The 21927-nt window shown below is 45.2% G+C and overlaps 1 protein-coding gene across 7 annotated transcripts in view, besides 1 other annotated feature; it reads left to right on the top strand.

Moving 5' to 3' along the window:
• The window catches only part of BTBD9 (BTB domain containing 9), a 471479-nt gene that overhangs the window by 410296 nt on the left and 39256 nt on the right, over positions 1-21927 (top strand). The gene's annotated exons all lie outside the window — the stretch shown is intronic.
• Positions 13731-14232: an enhancer, noted in NCBI's record as "NANOG hESC enhancer chr6:38183178-38183679 (GRCh37/hg19 assembly coordinates)". NCBI's record gives its function as "activates a minimal SCP1, AML or CMV promoter by ChIP-STARR-seq in primed H9 embryonic stem cells {active_cell/tissue: H9 hESC(primed)}" and the evidence as "EXISTENCE:reporter gene assay evidence [ECO:0000049][PMID:30033119]".

Genomic DNA, 21927 nt, shown 5'->3' with positions numbered 1-21927 from the left:
GGGCTGCTACAAACCTTGAGCAGTCTTAGTCTACACTGTCTGCCAGGTGTTCATATATCCATATGACCTTCCTATTGTGCTCTGTGTTGGTCAAGACACGCCTGGGCACCTGTGCAAAAGTAGATGATGGGAGTTCAGGAAACTGTTTCATGGGGGGACCAATTAAAGGAACTAGGGATAAAACAAGATCCAGGTAAACCATCAAAGGGGCTGTAGGGTCATGATAATTATCTTTAAATATAATTTAAAGAGCTGTCTTGTGAGAACCTACATTCTGTTAACCCAGAGGTTTGCACTTAACAAAATTTTACTTCATACCTTCAACACACATGTAATGAGCATCTGTCTACTCTTTGCCAGTTACTATTTTCTGTGTGTATCAGATGAAGTACCTAATTAATATGTTTTCAGGATTTTTAGAGACTTTTTTTTTTTTTTTGACAGAGTCTTGCTCTGTCACCAGGCTGGAGTGCAGTGGTGTGATCTCCACTCACTGCAACCTCCACCTCCCAAGTTCAAGTGATTCTCCTGCCTCAGCCTCCCATGTAGCTGGGATTACAGGCACCCATCATCATGCCCAGATAATTTTTTGTATTTTTAGTAGAGACGGGGTTTCACTATGTTGGCCAGGCTGGTCTTGAACTCCTGACCTCATGATCCGCCCACCTCAGCCTCCCAAAGTGCTGGGATTACAGGCGTAAGCCACCATGCCCAGCCTAGAGACTGTTTTTGTTTTGTTTTTGTTTTTGTTTTTGTTTTTTGAGACGGAGCCTCGCTCTGCCGCTGGGCTGGAGTACAGTGGCACGATCTCAGCTCACTACAACCTCCACCTCCTGGGTTCAAGCGATTCTCCTGCCTCAGCCTCCTGAGTAGCTGGGACTACAGGCGCATGCCACCACGCCTGGCTAATTTTTGTATTTCTAGTAGAGACGGGGTTTCACCATGTTAGCCAGGGTGGTCTCGATCTCCTGACCTCACGATCTACCCACCTCGGCCTCCCAAAGTGCTGGGATTACAGGCATGAGCCACCGTGCCCAGCCTAGAGACTGTTTTTTTTTTAAGAGCCGTTTTAGGTTCACAGAAAAGTTGGGAGGAAGGTACAGAGATTTTCCGTATCCCTTCTGCCCCTCTACATGCACAGCCTCCCCAAGTATCAACATCCTCCACCAGAGTGGTACATTTGTTGCATTTGATGAACCTACACTGACACATCATAGTACCCAAAGTCCATAATACCGAAAGTCCATAGGTTTACTCTCTCTCTTTTTTTTTTTTTTTTTTTGGGGGGGGGGACAGGGTCTTGCCCTGTCACCAGGCTGAGTGCAGTGGTGTTATCATAGCCCACTGTAGCCTCAAACAGTCCTCCTACCTCTGCCTCCCGAGTAACTGGGACTATAGGCATGGCCACCATGCCCAGCTAAGTTTTGTACTTTTTGTAAAGACAAGGTTTCCTCATTTTGCCCAGGCTGGTCTCAAACTTCTGGACTCAAGCAGTCCGCCCACCTCTGCCTCCCAAAGTGCTGGGATTACAGGTTTGAGCCACTGTGCCTGGCCAGGGTTGACTCCTGGTGTTATACATTTTATGGGTTTGGACAAATGTATAATGACATCTATTGTTATAGTATCATACAGAGTGTGTGCTCCACTTACTCATCCCTACTCCCCAACTCTCCAGTACCAACCTCTGGCAACCACTGATCTTTTTACTACCTCCGTAGTTTCTCATTTTCCAGAATGTCATGTAAGTTAGGATTCACTTTTGAATTTCTTCAGAAGAAAAGACCACACAGCATTCCAGAAGTGCCCATTGCCGCAGAACTCACTGTTCTCCAGTCTGGCTGCTAATCAGAGCACAAGATCCCTGAGTTCTTGGCAAGGAGAGAATGCCAGTCCCAGGCCCCCTTCTCCATTATACTCTCAGAGCTCTGTCAGCAGCAGAGCTGCATACATAAAGGAAAGTGATCCCTTGTTTCTTTCTAGATATGCAGCCGTGACCTTCTGCAGGAGTCTTTATGGCCTCTCTGAAGCACTCTTGAACCTATTCCTCAGCCTGCCACTGTGGCCAGCCAGCCCTGCCGTCCCAGCCACTTTCTGATCACCTTCCTTCCCAGCCTCATCAGGCGGAAGGGATAGGGACAGTAACTGACATGTTTGTCTGGGGCTCTGTAGCACTTTGCCAGACCTCATTGTGTGCCTCTTTATTCTCCTATTTTTGAGAGGTTCATTGTTTAGGCCTTCAAGCATCTTTGGATTAGAGATCCAAGGAATTAAAAACCAGCATATAGAAGAATGTAACCGCCTACTAAATATGTGCTCCTAAAACAAAACCAAGTGGCAGCACTAATGCCGACAGCCAGGACCTCAAAGTACAAACCCTAAAAGTGGTCTCATTTGGAAGCAAATCAGAATCCCAGAATCCTCAGAAAACTCCAGAGAAAATTTATGACCTTCCTCTAAACAGTGTTCTGCATCTCCTTTCAGTATAGCATTTGGTTTCTCTCTCTAGTGACTTCGCACTAAGGGGACTTGAGGCACACAGTGGGTGAGCAAGCCTCTCCAGGACATACTTGTTAAGTGTAACCCTCACATTGCCCCAGCCTCTGCTAGTCGCCACTGTAAAATGCTGGGTCAAATTGTGGTTATAAAGTCAATTGCTTCCAGAGTAAACCTGCTGTCTTTGGATCTTTGTTTTATTCAAGGCTGCTCTGTCAGCTGTAGGCTTGCCTTTGATAGGCCGCAGCAGTGGTTTTCATGTCTAACTAGGATTTTAATGTTTGTGAGAGACTGTAGTTAATTGGATCCCCATGGTACCACAAATGACTTTAGAAGCCTCTTATGTCAGTGGAGGTAACTCTGTGAGTGCGTGTGTGTGTGTGCATGTTTGTGTGTGTACACACCTGTCCTCACCCCTGAGCAAGCACCTTGAGATTTAAGTGTTCTTATGCCCAAATCTCAGGTTTGAGCATTTTTAATACTTGTTTTTCCAGAGTCAAAAACCTTGCCATCACCCCTAGATTCTTAACCTTTCTCCTTGCCTACTCTTCAGTTGTGTGTGTTGTTTTGGGGGCAGTTGGGGCAGAACAGCCAGACTCATCTCAGCCTGTGTCTCATCTGCAGTCACAGAGCTAGAGATTCTCTGTGAACCTCTGCCATCTTGCTGGCTGCTGCACGCCATCCAAGCCCCATTTCCTGACTCCTTTTGCAGAGTTGGAGCAGCAGCAAGGAACCCCTGCCCCCACTCTGTCATCACTGTAGTGCTCTGTTCAGTTACTGTAAGAGCTGCTGAGTCCTGCCTGGTTCCCTGTTCTGTCTTGAGAAGGGTGGCCACAGACAGTTGCTTATACATATGTTGCCATGCTTTGAACTGTGCAGGCGCGGGGATCAGTATCTTATCAGTTCTCCACAAAAGAGGTGGTTTCACACTCCCACCCCCCTTTGAAACCTAAGGTGACCTATCCTAGTAACCTGAACAAGCCTAACTAACATTCCTATGGATGGAGCAAAGAAACAGAGAGGGCAGGTGAGAGCAAGTGTTATTATAAGAAAATAAGCAAGGCACAGGAAGAGCTAAGTACTTTGGAGCAAAAAAGACTAGTGTGCCTTAGGATTTGGGAACCCTGGAAAGTAGAGAAGCTAATCCACCTTTGGCCTTTGGCCTCATAGTTAAGCCTTGCCAATGAAACGTGCTCAGTCATCAAGTACCAGTATTGTTAGTCTTCTCTATGTGTGTGTCATATCTGCCTTAAATAAATTGATGCAATGAAAGTAATCTGTAAGTGGTAAAACTCTATACAAACATCAGATGTCATTAGGTCGTTCTGACTAGATTGTAAGCACCTTGAAGTCCTGGGTTGCCCCTGATGCTTCTTTTTCCTCTCATAGGTAGTCCCTCGTACCCCTGCCCTTGCCTGGCTGGTTAAGTGACCCTTTCCAGCCAAGCTAGAGTTGGCCTCCCCTGTTATTCCTTCATAGCACCTGTCACAATTTATAATTTTAAGTTATTTATAACTTAAGTTTTTCCATTAGGCATTAAGTTCCTTAAAAGTGGAGACCATGTCTGCTTTGTTCATATCTACATTCTTAGCACCTATAAAATGCCTGGCACATATTAACAGTTTTTTATTAATAGTTACTAAAGGAATGGTTCCACAGGAGGACATTAGTAAGTTTAGGGCCAGGGAATGCCCCTTCTCTCCTATATCTTACCACTGGGGAAGCTTTTGGTCTTCACCTTCAGGGTCTATGGGGCTAGCTTTCTAATGTCTCCTGAGCATTTTGCATCTTCCCATTAACTGTGAATTTCACTGCTGGTGACTTCATTCAAGTGAATCTCAGAGCCTCTAGGACACATCATTGGGCAAGATGTGGCAGCTACCTTTGCTGATTTGTTTCTATTCCATTTGTCCATGGCATTGTGGGAAAAGAGATAGATGGCCTTGGTTCCCTAGCTGGAGTGAGGTAGGTAAGAGAACTTCTGACTGAACATTTCCGTCCTTTGAATTTTGGTACAAATGCAAAGGCTGCCTTGAGGGGCACTCACAGAGCCAGCATGCTTTTTCATATCTTCCTGTCCATGGTAAGTGCCCCTTTCATAGGAGAGCTCATTAAGACCCACATTCACCATCTACCAGCAAGAATTCCATCAGAAGTTAGTTACCTTAAACTAAGTGTGACTTTCTGACTCACATTTATGAATATACCCAGTTAGATTATAGAACTGCAACATCATACTTATTACCTTGAAATTACATTTTTGTTCTGAATGACCAAGCCTTGTAAACAATGTAAGTACTACCTAACACACATATTCTGAAACAAGCTCCACGTTAAGCGTTGGTTTGTAATGGGTGATATTTGGATAGCTCTGATTAAATATGTAAATTATGAAAATTAGAAGTGGAAAAAAAGTTACCTTTGTACTTGAACCAGCTACATATTGATCTTTGACTCAATAATGGATCATTCTCTCTCTTATAGATCTTGGTCTTACACAAGTTTTTTCTTTTGTATTTTTTACTCTTCATGTGTGGTTTCCTTACTCTTGTTCAGACCTTTCAGTTGATAGAGCTTCTCCATTGTGTGTATTTTGGATGGTAATCTCTAAAAAGCCTTTGTGTGAGGTTCTTAAGTATTTTTCATCCAACATTGGTTTTACCCCAAGGGTCCTCTTCCCTGAAGCAGTAGCATTGGATTTGGACAGTCCTTTCCTTTCTCATCATAATGAGATGGCCCTCATCCAGAAATACGCTCATGGCCATATCTGAGATTAGGAATTTTGCTCAGGCCAGGCGCTTGCCAACTGAGCCAGGAAAATAGACAAATCCAAGAGGAATGAAAACATAGAAAAAGAGGTCGTGCAGACTATGAGACTCAAATCTTATTACTGAATTGTCCATACCTCATAAGTTTTTTTTTTCTTTTGAGACAGAGTCTTGCTCTGTCACCCAGGCTGGAGTGCAGCGGCACAATCTCAGCTCACTGCAACCTTTGCCTCCCAGGCTCAAGTGATCCTCCCACCTCAGCCCCCAAAGTAGCTGGGACTACAGGTGCTTACCACCTCACCTTGCTAATTTTTGTATTTTTAGTAGAAGTGGGTTTTTACCATGTTGCCCAGGCTGGTCTTGAACTCCTGGCCTCAAGCAGTCAGCCTGCTTTGGCCTCCAAAAATTCTGGGATTACAGATGTGAGCCACTGCGCCAGGCCATACCTCATTATTTTAAGGAATTTCTAGTCACTCCAAAAAAACTATAGAAAGAAGTAAACCTAGAACAGGGATTTCTAAAGCAAGATGAGAAATTGGAAAAGTTTAGGGAAGATGTTAAGGCTGGATATAACCAATTTTTCGTTTAAAAAAAAAAAAAGGAGAATCCAAAAAGGAAATGGAAGAAAATGTTTGGCAGAAATGGTAAAACTGAGTATGACAGCGTGAGGGCAGAGCCGTGAATGGGTGCAGAATTGAGCAGAGAGGAAGAGGACTGATGTTAAATTCAGAACTCTGGCTGAGTGCAGTGGTTCACACCTATAATCTAGCACTCTGGATGGCCAAGGTGGGAGGATCACTCGAGGCCGGGAATTCGAATCCAGCCTGGACAACATAGGGAGACCTCATCTCTACAAAAACAATAAATAAAAATTACCCAGACATGGTGGCTCGTGCCTGTAGTCCCACCTACTTGAATACTGAGGTGGGAGGATTGCTTGAGCCCAGGAGTTTGAGGCTGCAGTGAACTATGATTGCTCTGCTGTACTCTAGCCTGGGACACAGAGTGAGATCCTGTCTCTAAAAAAATACAAATAACTTCAGAATTCCTGCACAGGAAAACCTTTCCATATTTAGAAGGGTGATTATTTAATGCTCTAGTTTCATGGGATTGACTATTAAGATGCTGTTCACTTGTTTGTCGTGATAATCTAAAATCTTCCTCTAGGCCGGGCGTAGTGGCTCATGCCTGTAATCCTAGCACTTTGGGAAGCCGAGGCAGGTGGATCACCTGAGGTCAGGAGTTCAAGACCAGCCTGGCCAACATGGTGAAACCTTGTCTCTACTAAAAATGCAAAAAATTAGCCAGGCGTGGTGGCAGGAACCTGTAATCCCAGCTACTTGAGAGGCGAGGCAGGAGAATTGCTTGAACCCGGGAGGTGGAGGTTGCAATGAGCCAAGATTGCACCATTGCACTCCAGCATGGGCAACAAGAACAAAACTCCATCTTAAAAAATAAATAAATAAATAAAATAAAACCTTCCCCTAAACTCAGGTTCGAAACTTCTGGAATAGGATGCCAGAAAGAACATGTGAGGCTACAAACCTCCTTTCGTGTGTATAACATGTTTAGCTCTAAATATGTTTTGCCTGTTTGTCTGTCTATCTTTACATTTACTTTTTATTTTTGCTAAATAGTTCCCATGCCCTGGCTACCTTTTACCCTTAGGTGTAAGAATACAAATGTGAGTATTTCTGTTTTTGAGAGACAGAGATGAGTGTTACATATTCTTCAACTGGAAGCTTTACCATCCCTGGTGCCCTCCCCTCACAATGATATATAATATATCTCATGTTGTCTATTATTAAAATCAAGGTCTGGCGCAGTGGTTCATGCCTGTAATCCTAGCACTTTGGGAGGCCAAGGCGGGCGGATCACGAGGTCAGGAGATCGAGACCATCCTGGCTAACACGGTGAAACCCCGTCTCTACTAAAAATACAAAAATTAGATGGGCATGGTGGCGGGCACCTGTAGTCCCAGCTACTCGGGAGGCTGAGGCAGGAGAATGGCGTGAACCCGGGAGGCAGAGCTTGCAGTAAGCCGAGATCGCACCACTGCATTCCAGCCTGGGTGACAGAGCAAGACTGTCTCAAAAAAAAAAAAAAAAAAAAAAACAACTGAATGAATTATTAAGGCTAATTTAGTCCTTTCTCTCTTCAGCTATATGATTTTTATATTTGAGTAGCTAAGAGCCCTGTGATTTAAGACAAATCTTATATTCCAGTGTCAAACATACCCAATTCATGATAAGTACTTAGACCAGTCTCTTCCTTGGCTGGACTTCAATGAATAATTATTCCAGCTCCTCCCTACCCTGTAGGGATATTTGGAAGATAAATGAGATCATCTTTCTTTATTTTTTATTTTTTATTTTTTTTCTTCGAGACAGAGTCTCTCTCTGTCACCAGGCTGGAGTACAGTGGTGCACTCTCAGCTCACTGCAACCTCCGCCTCCCAGGTTCAAGCGATTCTCCTGCCTCAGCCTCCCAAGTAGCTGGGACTACAGGCATGCACCACCAGGCCTGGCTAATTCCTGTATTTTTAGTAGAGGTGGGGTTTCACCATATTGGCCAGGCTGGTCTTGAACTCCTAACCTTGTGATTCGCCTGCCTCGGCCTACCAAAGTGCTGGGATTACAGGCGTGAGCCACCGCACCCGGCCTTTTGAGATCATATCTCTTACAGCATTGCTTATTCTTCAGAGGGAAGTCTGTAATATTGTTATTGGGTTGTTATTACTGTTCTTTTCCAAACTATACCCCACATAATGCTTGTGGCATTCACAGTCTAGCTGGGTTTCCCCTGGCAAAATTATTTCAATGCAATGGTTCATTGACGGGCGGCACTCCTCAGGCATCACTGTGACATTTTGTGGGCAGGAATTTAGTGGTACTCTTGGCCCATGTGTCCCTTCATCTGGGATGCTGGGATGTCTCAGACTGAAGGGCAGATGGTGGTGGTGGCTCCCTGGGGGGAGGCTTTTGGACAGGAGGTGGCTGGGTGATTACAGGAAAGCAGGTGCTGATTTACCTTTTTGCCTGTTTCTTTTGGGAGGCAGTGTTTCGATTGACTGCATTCCTTGGAGGTTTGACATATCAATTAGATGTTATCGACAGTAATAGAGGGGCAGTTGCTGTAGATGTGAAGTTTTTACTGGTAGGCCATGAAATGATACCCCAAGGGACTGTAACAGAGTGGCGAGATAAATATTGTGTTACCTGCACATGGGCAGAGGGACTGATTAATAGGGGAGGATGATTCTGTCTCCTGCACTAAAATGTTATTTATTCATTGGCTGTCAATCAAACCTTCTGTTCTAATTGGCTGAAAGGTTAAATCATCAAGATCTGCTCGTAACCCTGGTTGAGTAGAAAGAAAAGCAGTGCTAAATCATAATCAGTGGCCTGTTTATTTACTGCATTCTTGCATCTGTATGACCTTGGAGAGCCTTTCTCTACCCTCTGGTTACAGTAGCATCCCCAAGCCTAGACTCACATGCATGGGTGGAGGGAGCTGGAAAGGAGAATATATTTGCCAGGCCTGGTAGTGTCCCAAGAATCTCAAGAAGGCAGCGATGGTGCTTGGTGTGACATTGTCTTCGCATAATTAAACCACTGCTATTCTTTCGGCTGCATTTTTAGTGTATGGCTCTTGTGTTGCACAACATTGTAAAAGGAAGAATTATTTTTGAAAAGACAAATATATTTCCACACTAACAGTTTTATAAAGATGTCAGCAAATAAGTATAGGCATCATTAAATCACATTTTAAAGGCAGCCTTCTCATTGTGATAAATCTGCATTATCAAGTCTCATTTCTAAAATGAATCATACATTGTAAAACTTTATGAGAGTTGAGTAAAAGATCCCTGTTGGCCAGTACAAATGTATATTTTCAAACCATGCAGAAAGGATTCAAGTCCTAGTGAAAACACTGATAGGGTTATACCTGTTTCTTAGAAGCTGTATTTCAAGTACAAGCTACTTTGGGGTGGGATGGAGCTTTTTTCACTGCCAAAGTGAATCAGTAGCTTATTCAAAGAAAGCCAAGAGTAAACTCCCATTCAAAGAACCTTTGTATTCAGTTTGGAGCTGTGAGAACACAGCCTGCTTTGCAGTGGGACTAGTGAACGTCAGTATTGCAGACCCACAGTGCTGAGGAAGGTGGGGCCGTGCCCTGAGAGGGCACGCTCACCATCTAGGGCATGTCCCCCAACACCATCACCCACTGCCATGTTCTCAGCCTCATGTTCCCTGTACCCACCTCCATTGCCACCAGCCCAGAGACGCAAAACACATCAGCCCAAGAGGTAGACGCACTTTTTCATTATCTTGATAGTTAACAAATTTACTTCCGTGGTTGGTTAGGTATTTTAAGCACAGAAAGCCACATCAACACATGACTCTGATATACCATATTACCATATTAAATAACATGAAATATTACTGATATACCATATTAAAAATGTATCCTTCAAAGAGGGTCTAATTATCCAGCTCTTTGGAGAGGAAAGATGGCAGAGATAGCCAAATGCCCTCCTTAGTGTTTGAAACGATTTATAATTGTATATGTATTTTAGGTCATCATGTTGCAGAAAAGTATAACAAATGTTTATTGGTGGCTTATATGGCAAAACCAGCCAACAGTATCTGCTTTTTCATCTTTTTAGTGACTGCTGAGTTCATTTTACTGTAAGAACACACACTCATCTTGAGACCATCTGGCTTTATTTATTCTTAGTGAATAACCAAATTCTGCTATTGTGTTGTTTCATAATAGCTCAGGTAAGATGCATGACAACCCAGCATCTAGGTGATATGACGTAATGGAACAGTTTTAAGTCAGAGACTCAGAAAGTTGAAAGTGGAGAAGTGAACCTAGGTGGGTGATTCAGTAAAGAGAGAGTATTTAGTCTAAAAAAGAAAAAGTGAGGCCGGGCATGGTGGCTCACAACTGTAATCCCAGCACTTTGGGAGGCTGAGGTGGGTGGATCATTAGGTCAAGAGATTGAGACCATCCTGGCCAACATGCTGAAACCCTGTCTCTACTAAAATACAAAAAAAAAAAAAAATTAGCTGGGTGTGGTGGCGCACACCTGTAGTTCCAGCTACTCAGGAGGCTGAGGTGGGGGAATTGTTTGAACCCAGGAGGCGGAGCTGGCAGTGAGCCAAGCTTGTGCTACTACACTCCAGCCTGGCAACAGAGCAAGACTCGGTCTCAAAAAAAAAAAAAAAAAAAAAAAAGAAAAGAAAGTGATAGTAATGACTTAATACTATCTGTCCCTCTCCTCATCCTCCTTCTGAAGAAATAGACTGGGCAGCACTTGGGCTGTATTGCTCCTTGCTAGACCCTATACAAAGAGCTAGTCAGTCATTAGTAACTGTCAGTATCACCAAACCTGGTACACAGCCTGGGCGGGTACTCCAAAAAAGTATACTGGAGATGGTCTTTCTAAAAGTCACCCTCATAAATGGATTGTTCTTCCCATATCAGATAAAATGCCATGTAGAACTAGAAATTGTCATTCAATTTTTATGCCTGAGAAATATATAGTCAGTTGATCAGTTGGGATTTGAGAATAAAAAAAATTAAGTCAAGCTGACCAGCATTTCCTTCATGAAGTTGCCCCATCATAGCCTCAGTATGGCTGTCCTTCTTGTGAGCTTCTGTCCGTGCCACACACACATTCAACTTCAGGATTTAGAGGCTAGGCAACTAGTGGTAGACATTCCAGACCAGGAAAGTCAGGGCCTGGACATGGGCCACACCTACTGGAATGGCACAGAATATTTGGGAAGGGATCTAAAGTAGAAATGAGTGAAAGTCAGGATAAGAAATCCCAGGGGACATCTGGCAGGTCCAAGGGGTTGGGTTGTTCAGGACAACAGGTAAATTAGCACAGCATAGAATCTGGCAGTTAGGGAGTGTTCCAGGCAAGTGGTAGCAGGTTCAGAAAACAGACTGCAGCACAAAGAGGGTTGGAAAGGTTACAACAGGAACTTAGGCCTTTCAGAAGTTCAGAGGATTGGGTAGAACAGGAATTAGGGCCAAAGTTGTCCGCAATCTGCTTTAGTACAAAGCTAAGAATGGTTTTTACATTTTAAAAATGAATGTGTGACAGAGATCTGTGTGGCCTAAAATATTTACTATCTGGCTCTTTACAGAAAACATTTGTTGCCCCTGGGGGTAGGCATAGACTTGAATATAGAATAATTACTGGAACCAGAGGTATGACATACTGGTGAATTATCAGGAACCAGTGAGAGCCAGTTCCTAGGACCCAACTACACAACCAGAACGGGATCCAGAACAAGGCTCACGTGACTGCTGAGCTAGTTCCCATATTCCTCCTTCCTAAGGAGTAGATTGAAGGCAGAGCCCAGGGTAGACTTAGCATGTAAGGGAGGGTCAGTTGGTCCTGCAACAGGTAGGACATCCCTTGGGTACAATGGAGCAGCAGCAGGGTAAGGCCTTACCTTCATAGGGATAGTTTACAGCAGCCTCTGCCAGCCTCTGCCTCGTTTGACTTGCGCAGCTCCCTGCAGCATAGGGTTTTCCAGGTGTGACAGCAGAGACTCAAGTGATCAAGTGATTTGCCCAAGGCCATGCGGCCAGTGAAGGGCAAAACCTGGGCCCACGTGTTGGCTGTCTCTCTCAGTTAAAAAAAAAAAAAGAAAAAAGAAAAAAATAATAATGTTTAAAAAACCAAACTGGGCCCAAACCCAGATGTTGTGATTCCTAGTCTGTTAGACATTCTGTTCCATCACAGCCCCTCTCCCACCCTAGTAATCCTGGATTCACAAACCTCTCCGCCTGACCAGGATACCTGTGGAATACTTTTGAGAGCTGCATTTGGAACCTTCTTGCCCACGGTATCTCCATGTCAGTCCCTCATCCTCACTGTCACTAAAATTATCTTCCTAAGTCTTCCTTACTTTCTTATTCTTAAAGCCTCCCTTGATTTTTCCACTTTGCCACCTTCTACCTGATGGAGCATAGGTTTGACCACTTTGTTGTAGGATGGGGATTCTTTTTTTTTTTTTTTTTTTTTTTTGAGATGGAGTCTTGCTCTGTCACCCAGGCTGGAGTGCAGTGGCATTATCTCGGCTCACTGCAACCTCTGCCTCCCGGGTTCAAGCGATTCTCCTGCCTCAGCTTCCTGAGTAGCTAGGACTACAGGCACCCGCCACCAGGCCTGGCTAATTTTTTTTTTTTTTTTTGTATCCTTAGTAGAGAAAGGGTTTCACCATGTTGGCCAGGATGGTCTTGATCTCCTGACCTCATGATCCACCCACCTCGGCCTCCCAAAGTGCTGGGATTACAGGCATGAGCTACTGCGCCTGGCCCAGAACAGGGATTCTTAAAGTGTGGCTCCCAGGCCATCAGCATCACCTGGGAACATATTAGAAATGCAACTTCTCAGGCCCCACCTCTCCTACCTACTGAATCTGAAACCCCAAGGTGGACCAGCAGTCTGTGTTTAGCATCCCCAACAGGTGATGCTGAACTTCATGTTTGAGAACCTTGGAATAGCGCATCAGAATGTGCATCAGAATCACTTGTGGATGCACACCCCTCCCCCACCGATGGGAAGCCCTGGACTAGAGCATCACTGGGGTTGCCCAGAAGGTGGTTGCTGTATTCCTCACTGACTATGAAGGTGTTAGTGACAGCTGCAACACAGTTCATTGTATAGTGGTTCTGTTATGAGGACCAGTGAGAATTTCACTACCATGACAAATCCTTCAGATGCTTTTACCAGCTGCCAACCACTGTGGTCCACAGGGAAATAATAGAGTTTAGGAGATGGGACATAAACCTGCCATTATACATGCAGAAAATCCACTTCTCCAGGGACTCAGACTTGGGAATTCTAACGTCTAAGATCTTAAGAGGGAGCCTGTGTTTCCCAAATGCTTCCATTTCTGCAGAAGGCTTGATAGACTTGCTTGGCCACCATAGTCCTAGCCAAGGACTGTGAGGAGTGCTCCACAGATCCTGTACCAGTCTGCTGGTCCACAGGTCTGTCTGCTAATTGGGGCATTTTGACCCAAAGTTGGGAGTCATGGTTTTTCTTTCTCATGAAGGTTATAAAACTGAAGATAAGAAAATGAAAATCATAAAAACAAAGATGGATACCCCAAGGGTACAGCCATCACTCAGAGTAGAGGCCCAATCACGTGCTCTGAGTCAACAAACTGTACAATGTCAGAGTTGCATTCTTAATTGAGTGTGTTTCCCCTTTGTGATGTTTTGTTACATCCAGAAGAAATGGCCCCAAAAGAATACTTGTCATCTCTAATTATAGAACAGAGCCGTGCTTCTTCACAAGAAGTGAAAGGTGAAAATAGAGATGTCCTCCTCAGAACCCGAAAATTGATATTGAGGGCCTTCCCCCTGGGGCAGTATTTAGGCAAGGGATGGAATGGAACAATGGAAGGATTAGTGGCAGTGGTGTGGGGGGCGCAGGTGGGGAGGGATTGGTCTGATTTTTTTGTTGTTATTGTTAATCTCTAAAGCCTCCGCAGTATGGAGTTTCAGATCTAGAGTTCTGCTGACTTGATGGGAAAAAACAGCTGAATGATAAAACAGCTGAAATTTCATCTGTCTCTACATCTCCTGCCCCACACCCCTCCAGGGCTGCCCAGCAGGACACCAGTGTGATTCTGATGGCAGCTGAGCCATCACAAAGTGGGGAGATGAGTAAATCATCTGATAACTTTAGGAAAATCTACTTTATGCTTTCACACACTCCGTTGAACTTTTCAAAAATATTGACTAAATAACTTGCCAGCTGTGATTACCAACAGCTCTATTTGACAATCTTTGACAGAAAGCCAATGGGTATGTGCGACGTCATCCAGCGCTAACAGGGCCTTCATTAGCAGCTCTTGAGGGGATGAGTGCTCTCCTGGCCTGGGAAGAGTGATTCCTGTCCCCTGGTGCTGTTCACTCGCGCGTGGGTAAACTATTTGCTTAGCGAGCCCGGAGGCCGACATTGAAGCTTGCCTGTTCGTCTCCATCACTCTAAGGGCTTTTTATGTTCAGATCTGCAGGAACACAAATAATATTCTTTCTAAGCTGCTCCAAAATACAAGTGATAGAAAATATCATGGAAAAGGTGAATTGCCAGACAGTAAGCCCTCATGACCGAGAGCTTATTCATAAAATGATGACAAATTTATTGCACACGTTCACTGCTGGCTTTCTGAGATTAATAGCTGATCCATCTGATTTTAAAGCCTGACAATAGAATCAGAAAGAGTTACTGGTCAGTTTTTTCACCCATCCCCTTCACCCAGCAACCTTCCTCCTCAAGAAATAATACAGAAAAATCAGCTGATGTAGCTTCAGCAAGTGCCTTATGTTATTTTATTGCGAGAGATTTCCGTGTGCCAAGGATAACTTTTAACCTTGTTGAATGCAATTTTTGACTTTTTGGCATCTGCCTTCAGCTCTGCAAAACCCTCAGGGCAGGGGACTGGTACGGTGAATAGCTAGGGGTAGACTGAAACACAGTCTGAAAGGAAGCCATATTTTCTTGTGTCTTATGGCTGCTTGTTTACTATGAAGTAGTAAAGAAGTCATTGCTTGATATCTTAGCCCTGACGGCATGAACAAAATTCAAAGCAGGTGTAATGAAATACATGGCATCAAACCTTGGGCACACAGGAAGCCCAGGCTGGCAAAATATGGGTTGGGAATCTCTGGGGTTGCTGGTTTGAGGGGAATTAGGATTCCTCACAAAAAGCACGCGACCTCCCTTGCAGCCTCCTCCTCCCTGTTTTCGCTCTTCTGGCCAACTAAAGTGACCTGCAGACTCTCCCTGCCCTGTCACACCTTTAGCCTCTCTCAGTGCCCAGCTGATCCCCCTGCCTGTCTTGGCATCTGGTTTTTGTGTCAAATGATTTAAATTATTTAACTTAATGTATGTACTTAACATATGCCCTTGTCACCTGTCCTGTCTCATTGTCCACCTTCTTTGTGAACTCACAGGGAGCCAGCGGGCTAGGTCAGTCCTTGCTACACTCTGGCACTGGCATAATGCCACATGGCAGCCTGGCTGAGGGCGCTGAGATGTGCAGGAAAAAGCAGGGTTGCAGAGAAAGCCCATCCTTGCCTGCATCTAGGCCAGTGTATGGCAGGAATCTGAGGGAGGGGCCAGAGAGTGACTTGGAGCCAGCCAGTGGGGAGTGAGGGGCCTTGGAGAGAACATGCACCTTTTATAAGCCTGAGAGAAATCTAGGCCAACACAGACAGACCCGAAAAGTCATCAACACCAGAGAGTGCTAATGGTGACTTTTTTTAAATCAAGAAAATGTTTGAAAAGAGGGAGAAATTATTATTATTATTATTATTATTTTTGTTTGTTTATTTGAGATGGAGTCTCGCTCTGTCACCCAGGCTGGAGTGCAGTGGCGCAATCTCAGCTCACTGCAAGCTCCGCCTCCTGGGTTCATGCCATTTTCCTGCCTCAGCCTCCAGCTCAGTCCCAGCCTGTAGCTGGGACTACAGGCGCCTGCCACCACACCTGGCTAATTTTTTTTGTATTTTTAGTAGAGATGGGGTTTCACCATGTTAGCCAGGAGGGTCTCGATCTCCTCACCTCATGATCCGCCCGCCTCAGCCTCCCAAAGTGCTGGGATTACAGGCGTGAGCCACCACGCCCAGCCATGATTTTTTTATTTTTTTTAATTCAACTTTTTTATTGACAGAAACTGTCCCAGAAGAAAGATTGTTACATGCCACATACTGCCTCACATTGGCTTGCAGATCATTCACTGTCTTGAATGCAGTGCTTTGTGTTGAATGTGACAGTTAATGCAGATCCCGGAAAGGGCCTTTATGGGGCCTGCCTCAAAGACTTGTCACCTTTTTATTACAGAACTCATATTCAGAGATTCCAGTGTGTTAAATAGCTCTAGGCTAATCTTGGGCCGCTCTGTGCTAAGGGCAATGGTTTTCATCATAGGAAAACATTTTTTTTTTTACTCCAGAGATTTTTTTAAGCTCTCCCAAGTGCTCCCAACTTCCTGTCTGTTCAGCTGCAAATATCAGGCCCTTAATGGCTGGAGAGGGAGAGTCTATTTTTAAAGTTTTTACTGAATATCTCCCCACTGTCAGGTGCTGAACGAATTTGGCTTGTCATTAGATCTAAAATACCCACAGGGGTTTAGTGTAACTTTTAGGTATGAAATTGATCAGGTTTGATTCTGAGACCGTCTGGTGATCCTTCTGGAAGGCCACTTGCTTGCTTAGCTGTGTGTGAGATCATAGGTCAGGGCTGGGCTTTGTTTTGCATGGGCTTTTGACATTAATTTCCACAAAAGCAGCCTTAAAAAAAAAAAAACACCTGAAATTCAGGGGCCAGTTAGTCCTCTTTGTATTCTAAATCCCTTTGGTATTTAAAACATTAGGAAATGAAATTGCCAAATTCTTAACATTTGAAAATTGGCTCCTGCCCATGCCTAGTCTTCACATTTCCAGGGTGCTTCTGGGAGGGAATGCGCTGCTGGGGGAGAAGGGGGTGGTATTGGACAGCCACACGGAGCCAGGAGGAGGAGGCCGTCTCCTTGGAGGTAGCAGGCTTTTCAGAGCTCACCTGCCCTCCTCACAGGCTGAAAGGAGCTGCTGACGTCATTAAATCAATAACTTTGTTTAGCATTGTGTTTTCTGGGGGCAGGAAATCCTCTGGGGAACAGCAGACTGAATTTTCTCCCTCCCCTCACCAGCCTCCAGAGATGCCTGCTGGCAAGGGGTGTGGCCAAGCGGCTGGCTCTGCCATTGCCATTTAGTGGAGACCTACACCCTGGTTTTTGTTATTTTTCAGGCAAATTTCAGCAAAATTCCCAAGCCTCTAAGCTAGGTACTGAGAGGTCAAAAGTAGGAACAACTTTCTGAGCAACAGGGAGCAAATCAAAGTTTGTGAAGCCTGTGCAGGGTCATGCCCCATAGTCCTGTGTCACCCCCTCTCAACCTTCCTGTCCCCCAGCGCAGGCTGGCCCAGAGTAGCCCAGCTTGTTCTGTATAGGAATTTCACACACATGAAACCACAGCCCCAGGCAGGCCCCTCAGCACAGACCAGTGTTGCCCAGTGTTGCGTCCACCTCACTCTACCCAGCAGCCATCGCTGAGGAATGGGAGTGATTAGCCCAGAGCCTGCACCATGGGTGGAGAGCCCCTGCTCAGAAAGAGCTCCAGGCTTTAACATTCTCCTGGCCACCAAGGGAGGGCCACTCCTGTGCCCCTCTTTAACATCACCAAGGACAGGACCCCACAGCCTCTCCTGGGACCACGTTAAATGGTTTCTATAATAATTTTTCTGGTGGGTCAACAGGTTACTACGCAGTTGCCAGAATCAGCAAATTGCTGATTTCCCTTCCCCACATCACCCAGCCATGGGTCAGTCACACGAGAAGAGTCAATTGGTGGACTCAACACAGTGGTGGCAAAATGTTGGTCTAGACACTCTGCCTAGCTCCTGAAATCTGGTCTGAGTGTTTATTGCCAAGAACAGCTAGGAATTTTGGCCTCAAGCAAGTGACAGCAAGAGTTTGTTAACTACACAAATATAGCCCCATATTCCTGTTCAACATCAGACAAGGTTGAGCCAGAGTGATTTTTTTTTTAAGGCAGAATCTTGCTCTGTTGCCCAGGCTGGAGGGCAGTGGCTTAATCTCAGCTCACTGCAACCTCCACCTCCTGGGTTCAAGCGAGTCTCGTGCCTCCGCCTCCTGAGTAGCTAGGATTATAGGCATGCACCACCACACCCCCCTAATTTTTGTATTTTTTAGTAGAGATGGGCTTTCGCCATGTTGGCCAGGCTGGTCTTGAACTCCTGGGTTCAAGTGATCCATCTACCTAGGCCTCTCACAGTGCTGGGATTATAGGTGTGAGCCACTGCACATAGCCTAGAGTGAATTTTTTTTTTTTTTTTCTTTTGTGAGACGGAGTCTCGCTCTTTTGCCCAGGCTGGAGTGCAGTGGTGCTATCTCAGCTCACTGCAAGCTCTGCCTCCCAGGTTCACGCCATTCTCCTGCCTCAGCCTCCTGAGTAGCTGGGACTGCAGGCGCCCGCCACCATGCCCGGCTAATTTTTTGTATTTTTAGAAGAGACGGGGTTTCACCGTGTTAGCCAGGATGGTCTCGATCTCCTGACCTCGTGATCCACCCGCCTCGGCCTCCCAAAGTGCTGGGATTACAGGCGTGAGCCACCGTGCCTGGCCTTATGAACCCATTTCTTATTCCTTATTTGTTCAGAATCTTCTCAGAGACTTGAACTTTGCAACATAAAAATCTTTGTACCTAAAGAGCTCAGCTACAATGGCCAGCTTCTCTAGGAAAACCAACAAAGGCTCTGATACCTTTTGCCCAGAATGGGGAAGGGGAGGGGAGCTGTTAGGCCGAGGAACTCAGATGTGTGTGACCCACTTGGTGTTCAGGAGGGACTGGGACGCCTGGTAATGTGTAGCAGTGTGTTCAAGACACACTCTCCCTGAAGAGTCCCAGTTTCTCTCTCATACCTGATGGTCTCTTGGAGAAGGCGGATAATAGACAAGGGTAAAGGTAATTAATTATAAGATCCAAGTGTGACAGAAACCCTATTGGAAAGAACACATCTCTTCAAAAGACTTACTAGACATTTAGAACTGTTTCAACAGAGTTTAAATTTGGGAGCGAAACCATTAAACCTTGTAAGAAAGAAATGCCAGACCAAGAGGGTGCTTCATAGACTAATTTGATTGACTAGGCGTCTCCTCTTTCTGTACTACACAAAAACTCTTGCCCAGATGCAGACACACACACACACACACACACACACACACACACACACACAAACACACGCACTCTCCCACCACCACTTGTGTACAAACATGAATACAGAGACAGGAAGAAACACGAATTTGCTTTTTTCTGCATGATACTCAAAATCATTGCGTTTCTAGCACAGCTGCTGCTGCAGGAGAGAGAAAAGCACTTGGCCCCAGAGTCTGTTTATGTGTTTGAGCCGAGAAAGTGATTTTTGTTGCAGGAAGTTCTAAGTGAGACAGAGTCAGAGAATAAGAGAGAGAGAGAGAGATAATTATCTAAATTATGTTCGTGCTATTATCGAAGACGAATATAGTTAAAATGTAATTAAATATGACGGGCTAGCAGGATGTAAGCCAAGCTTTGGAATGCTAATCATCAATTACTGCATCCCCTTAGGGGAATCAAGGAGGCTGTATGGCAGAGTGGGAGCAAGGTTGGGGCTGGGGTACTGAGTGAGACGTCGAGCATTAAAACACCCCCTTCCCCTGTCTCCCCACGTAGTCATTCAAACCGCCATGGACGCCCCTGGGACACATCCCTTTCTGTAGCTGCCACAGCGTTAGAATATGAGGAGCTGGCGGGAGGGTCCTGCCGCTCTCTGTGAGAGGCAACCCCTCTAAAAGGGAAAATTATGCTATGAGCACAGAAGGCAAAACTCAAGATTGGCTTACGTTAGAGCAGTAGATGCAAGTGCATTTACCAGACAGAAGTCTGAAGCTCCTCCTCTGCCAGAAAGCATCAAATGCTCACCTACCTAGATCAAGGAATCCCAGGAAGGAAGTCAGGCAGGGAGGTGGAAGCGGACTGTAGTCGGGACAGAAGATGCCACATGTCCATGCTAGCAAGCTGCTCCTAACACTCAATCCCCAACCTGGGCAAGGGGCCCGCCTTGGCCATACATTGAAATCACCTGAGGAATTTAAAAAGGACTCAAGCAGGGCCCACCCCCCCAGAGGTTTTGAGCGTTAATTGGTGTGGGCTGTGGTCTGGGAGTTCAAAAGTTTAGCTCCACGGGTGTTTCTGATGTGCAGCCAAGGTTAAGACCCACCGGTCCAGCTATAACCAGACTTCTGCTAACCACAGCCAAGGGAAGGCAGGCAGCAGGAAGTGAGGACTGTAGTTAGTTCTTATGTCCTCAGCTGTACCTGTCTCGAGGCCAAGAACAAAACAGTATAAGGATTTACTTTTCTTAATCCTGAAACATGATTTTTATGTCAGTTCTGGTGCTAAATCCGCAAAGAATTTTGAACCTGGTGAGATTACTGTACAAGAGTCCATTTTAACACCGAGCTCTATCTAAGGCTGGGGTAGACACTCGGCCACCTCCTTGGACCAGATGGGTGATGTGAGGGAGCAAAGCAGGCCAGGGCAGGCGCAGGCAGTAAGAGAGACCACCAAAAGCTCTCCTCATCTCCAGCTGTTGTCAGGCAGGGAAGAGGACTCATGCATGCCAGATCTTCTGGTTTTCAAGAGAAGGGAGGCATCTCTGTTTTGCTGTGAAATTTCCCAATGTTTAAGTGGCAGCTAACTCAACTTTTTAAAAAATACTCAGGAAACCAGCAAGGTATGTCTGTGAGGCTCCCATGTGCGACTTTTGATCTTAGTGAGCCTTTGGCTAGTCAGCGTGTGGCCAAAACAATCACTAATTCCCATAGCTCCTAACACGGTTTTTTGCTGCCTCAGGTCTGCAGTCAGGTTAGATCAACTTGGCCCCATTTTTCCTAAGCCTGACACATAGAGGGTCTCAATAAATAGTTGTTGAATGGACAAACAGGGTGAATGGAACGAACCCAGAATTCCCTGTAAGTCTGGACAGCGAGACAGCTATAAAATCCAGTTAAGCATCCTGCAGAACAAAAGAACATACTCCTGGGGTGCCAGATTAGACAGAGGCCTGCACACTGAGTCTCCACTTTAGACTGGTATCAGAGATCTGGGGCCAAGGAAGCTCTTCAGAAGGGAATAAACAGGATCCGGGCTGATTTTGAGTCTCTGCCACATAGGACACCCTCTCTAGCTCTGCCTTTGGGGACCTAGCGGGGACAGACATGCAGGCCCAGCTTAAGGGCTGTTAAACAGTAATTCCCACCTCACCCAGTGTTCTGGAAAATGCTCTCTCTCTCATATCCCCAGTCCATAGATCATCTTTAGATATGATTAAAGAGATGAATGTGGTCCTTGGCCCATCACTACAATGCGCCAGACAATAAGAGCAGCATGCTTGGAGGGACAGTGGGCAGCTGTGGGGTCAGCTCAAGAGGCTCACTCATAAAGAACTGTCAGAGGGATCTTCAGGCAAGTCTCCATGCTCACTCAAGGCCTTTAATACCCGTCACGTCTCAGTGCCACGCAACTTGGAGAGGGCACCGCCGTCACTGCCGTAAGCTCAGTTGACAGGGGACAGCTTTTATTATTTCTTCCCTTTTCGAGAATCTGTTCCAAAGGTTCATGCCTGCCTTCCAGCCCTGCTCCCAAAGGCTGTAAATACATATGCTTCCCATGTACCTTTTCCACTCCTTGTCACCATAGGCTCTGCTCCCTTTCTTAGGCTCTGCTTTTTTTAATTGTAATTAAAAAAAATTATCAAAGTTATACATGGACAGTTTTGAGAGTGAAGTAAAACCACAAGACTTTTAACAAAAAGCAGCAGTCCTCTGCTTCATCCTTCCCTACCCCAAGTCCCATTCTCGGAAAGCAACTGCTTTTCTTTTTCCTCTTTTAAAAAGTAATTTTGAAAAAAACTATATATTCCAAAAAATATATTTAATGTTATTTAAAAATCTAAAACTGTAGACTGAAATGTTTCCCTCCTACCTTTTCCTTCAGAGATAGTTTATGCATAAACAAGTATATAT

The sequence above is a fragment of the Homo sapiens genome, chromosome 6, assembly GCF_000001405.40.
Source record: "Homo sapiens chromosome 6, GRCh38.p14 Primary Assembly".
Lineage (NCBI taxonomy): Eukaryota > Metazoa > Chordata > Mammalia > Primates > Hominidae > Homo > Homo sapiens.
The sequence above is the reverse complement of the archived record's forward strand: the minus strand, read 5'-3'. Positions and strand labels throughout refer to the sequence as shown.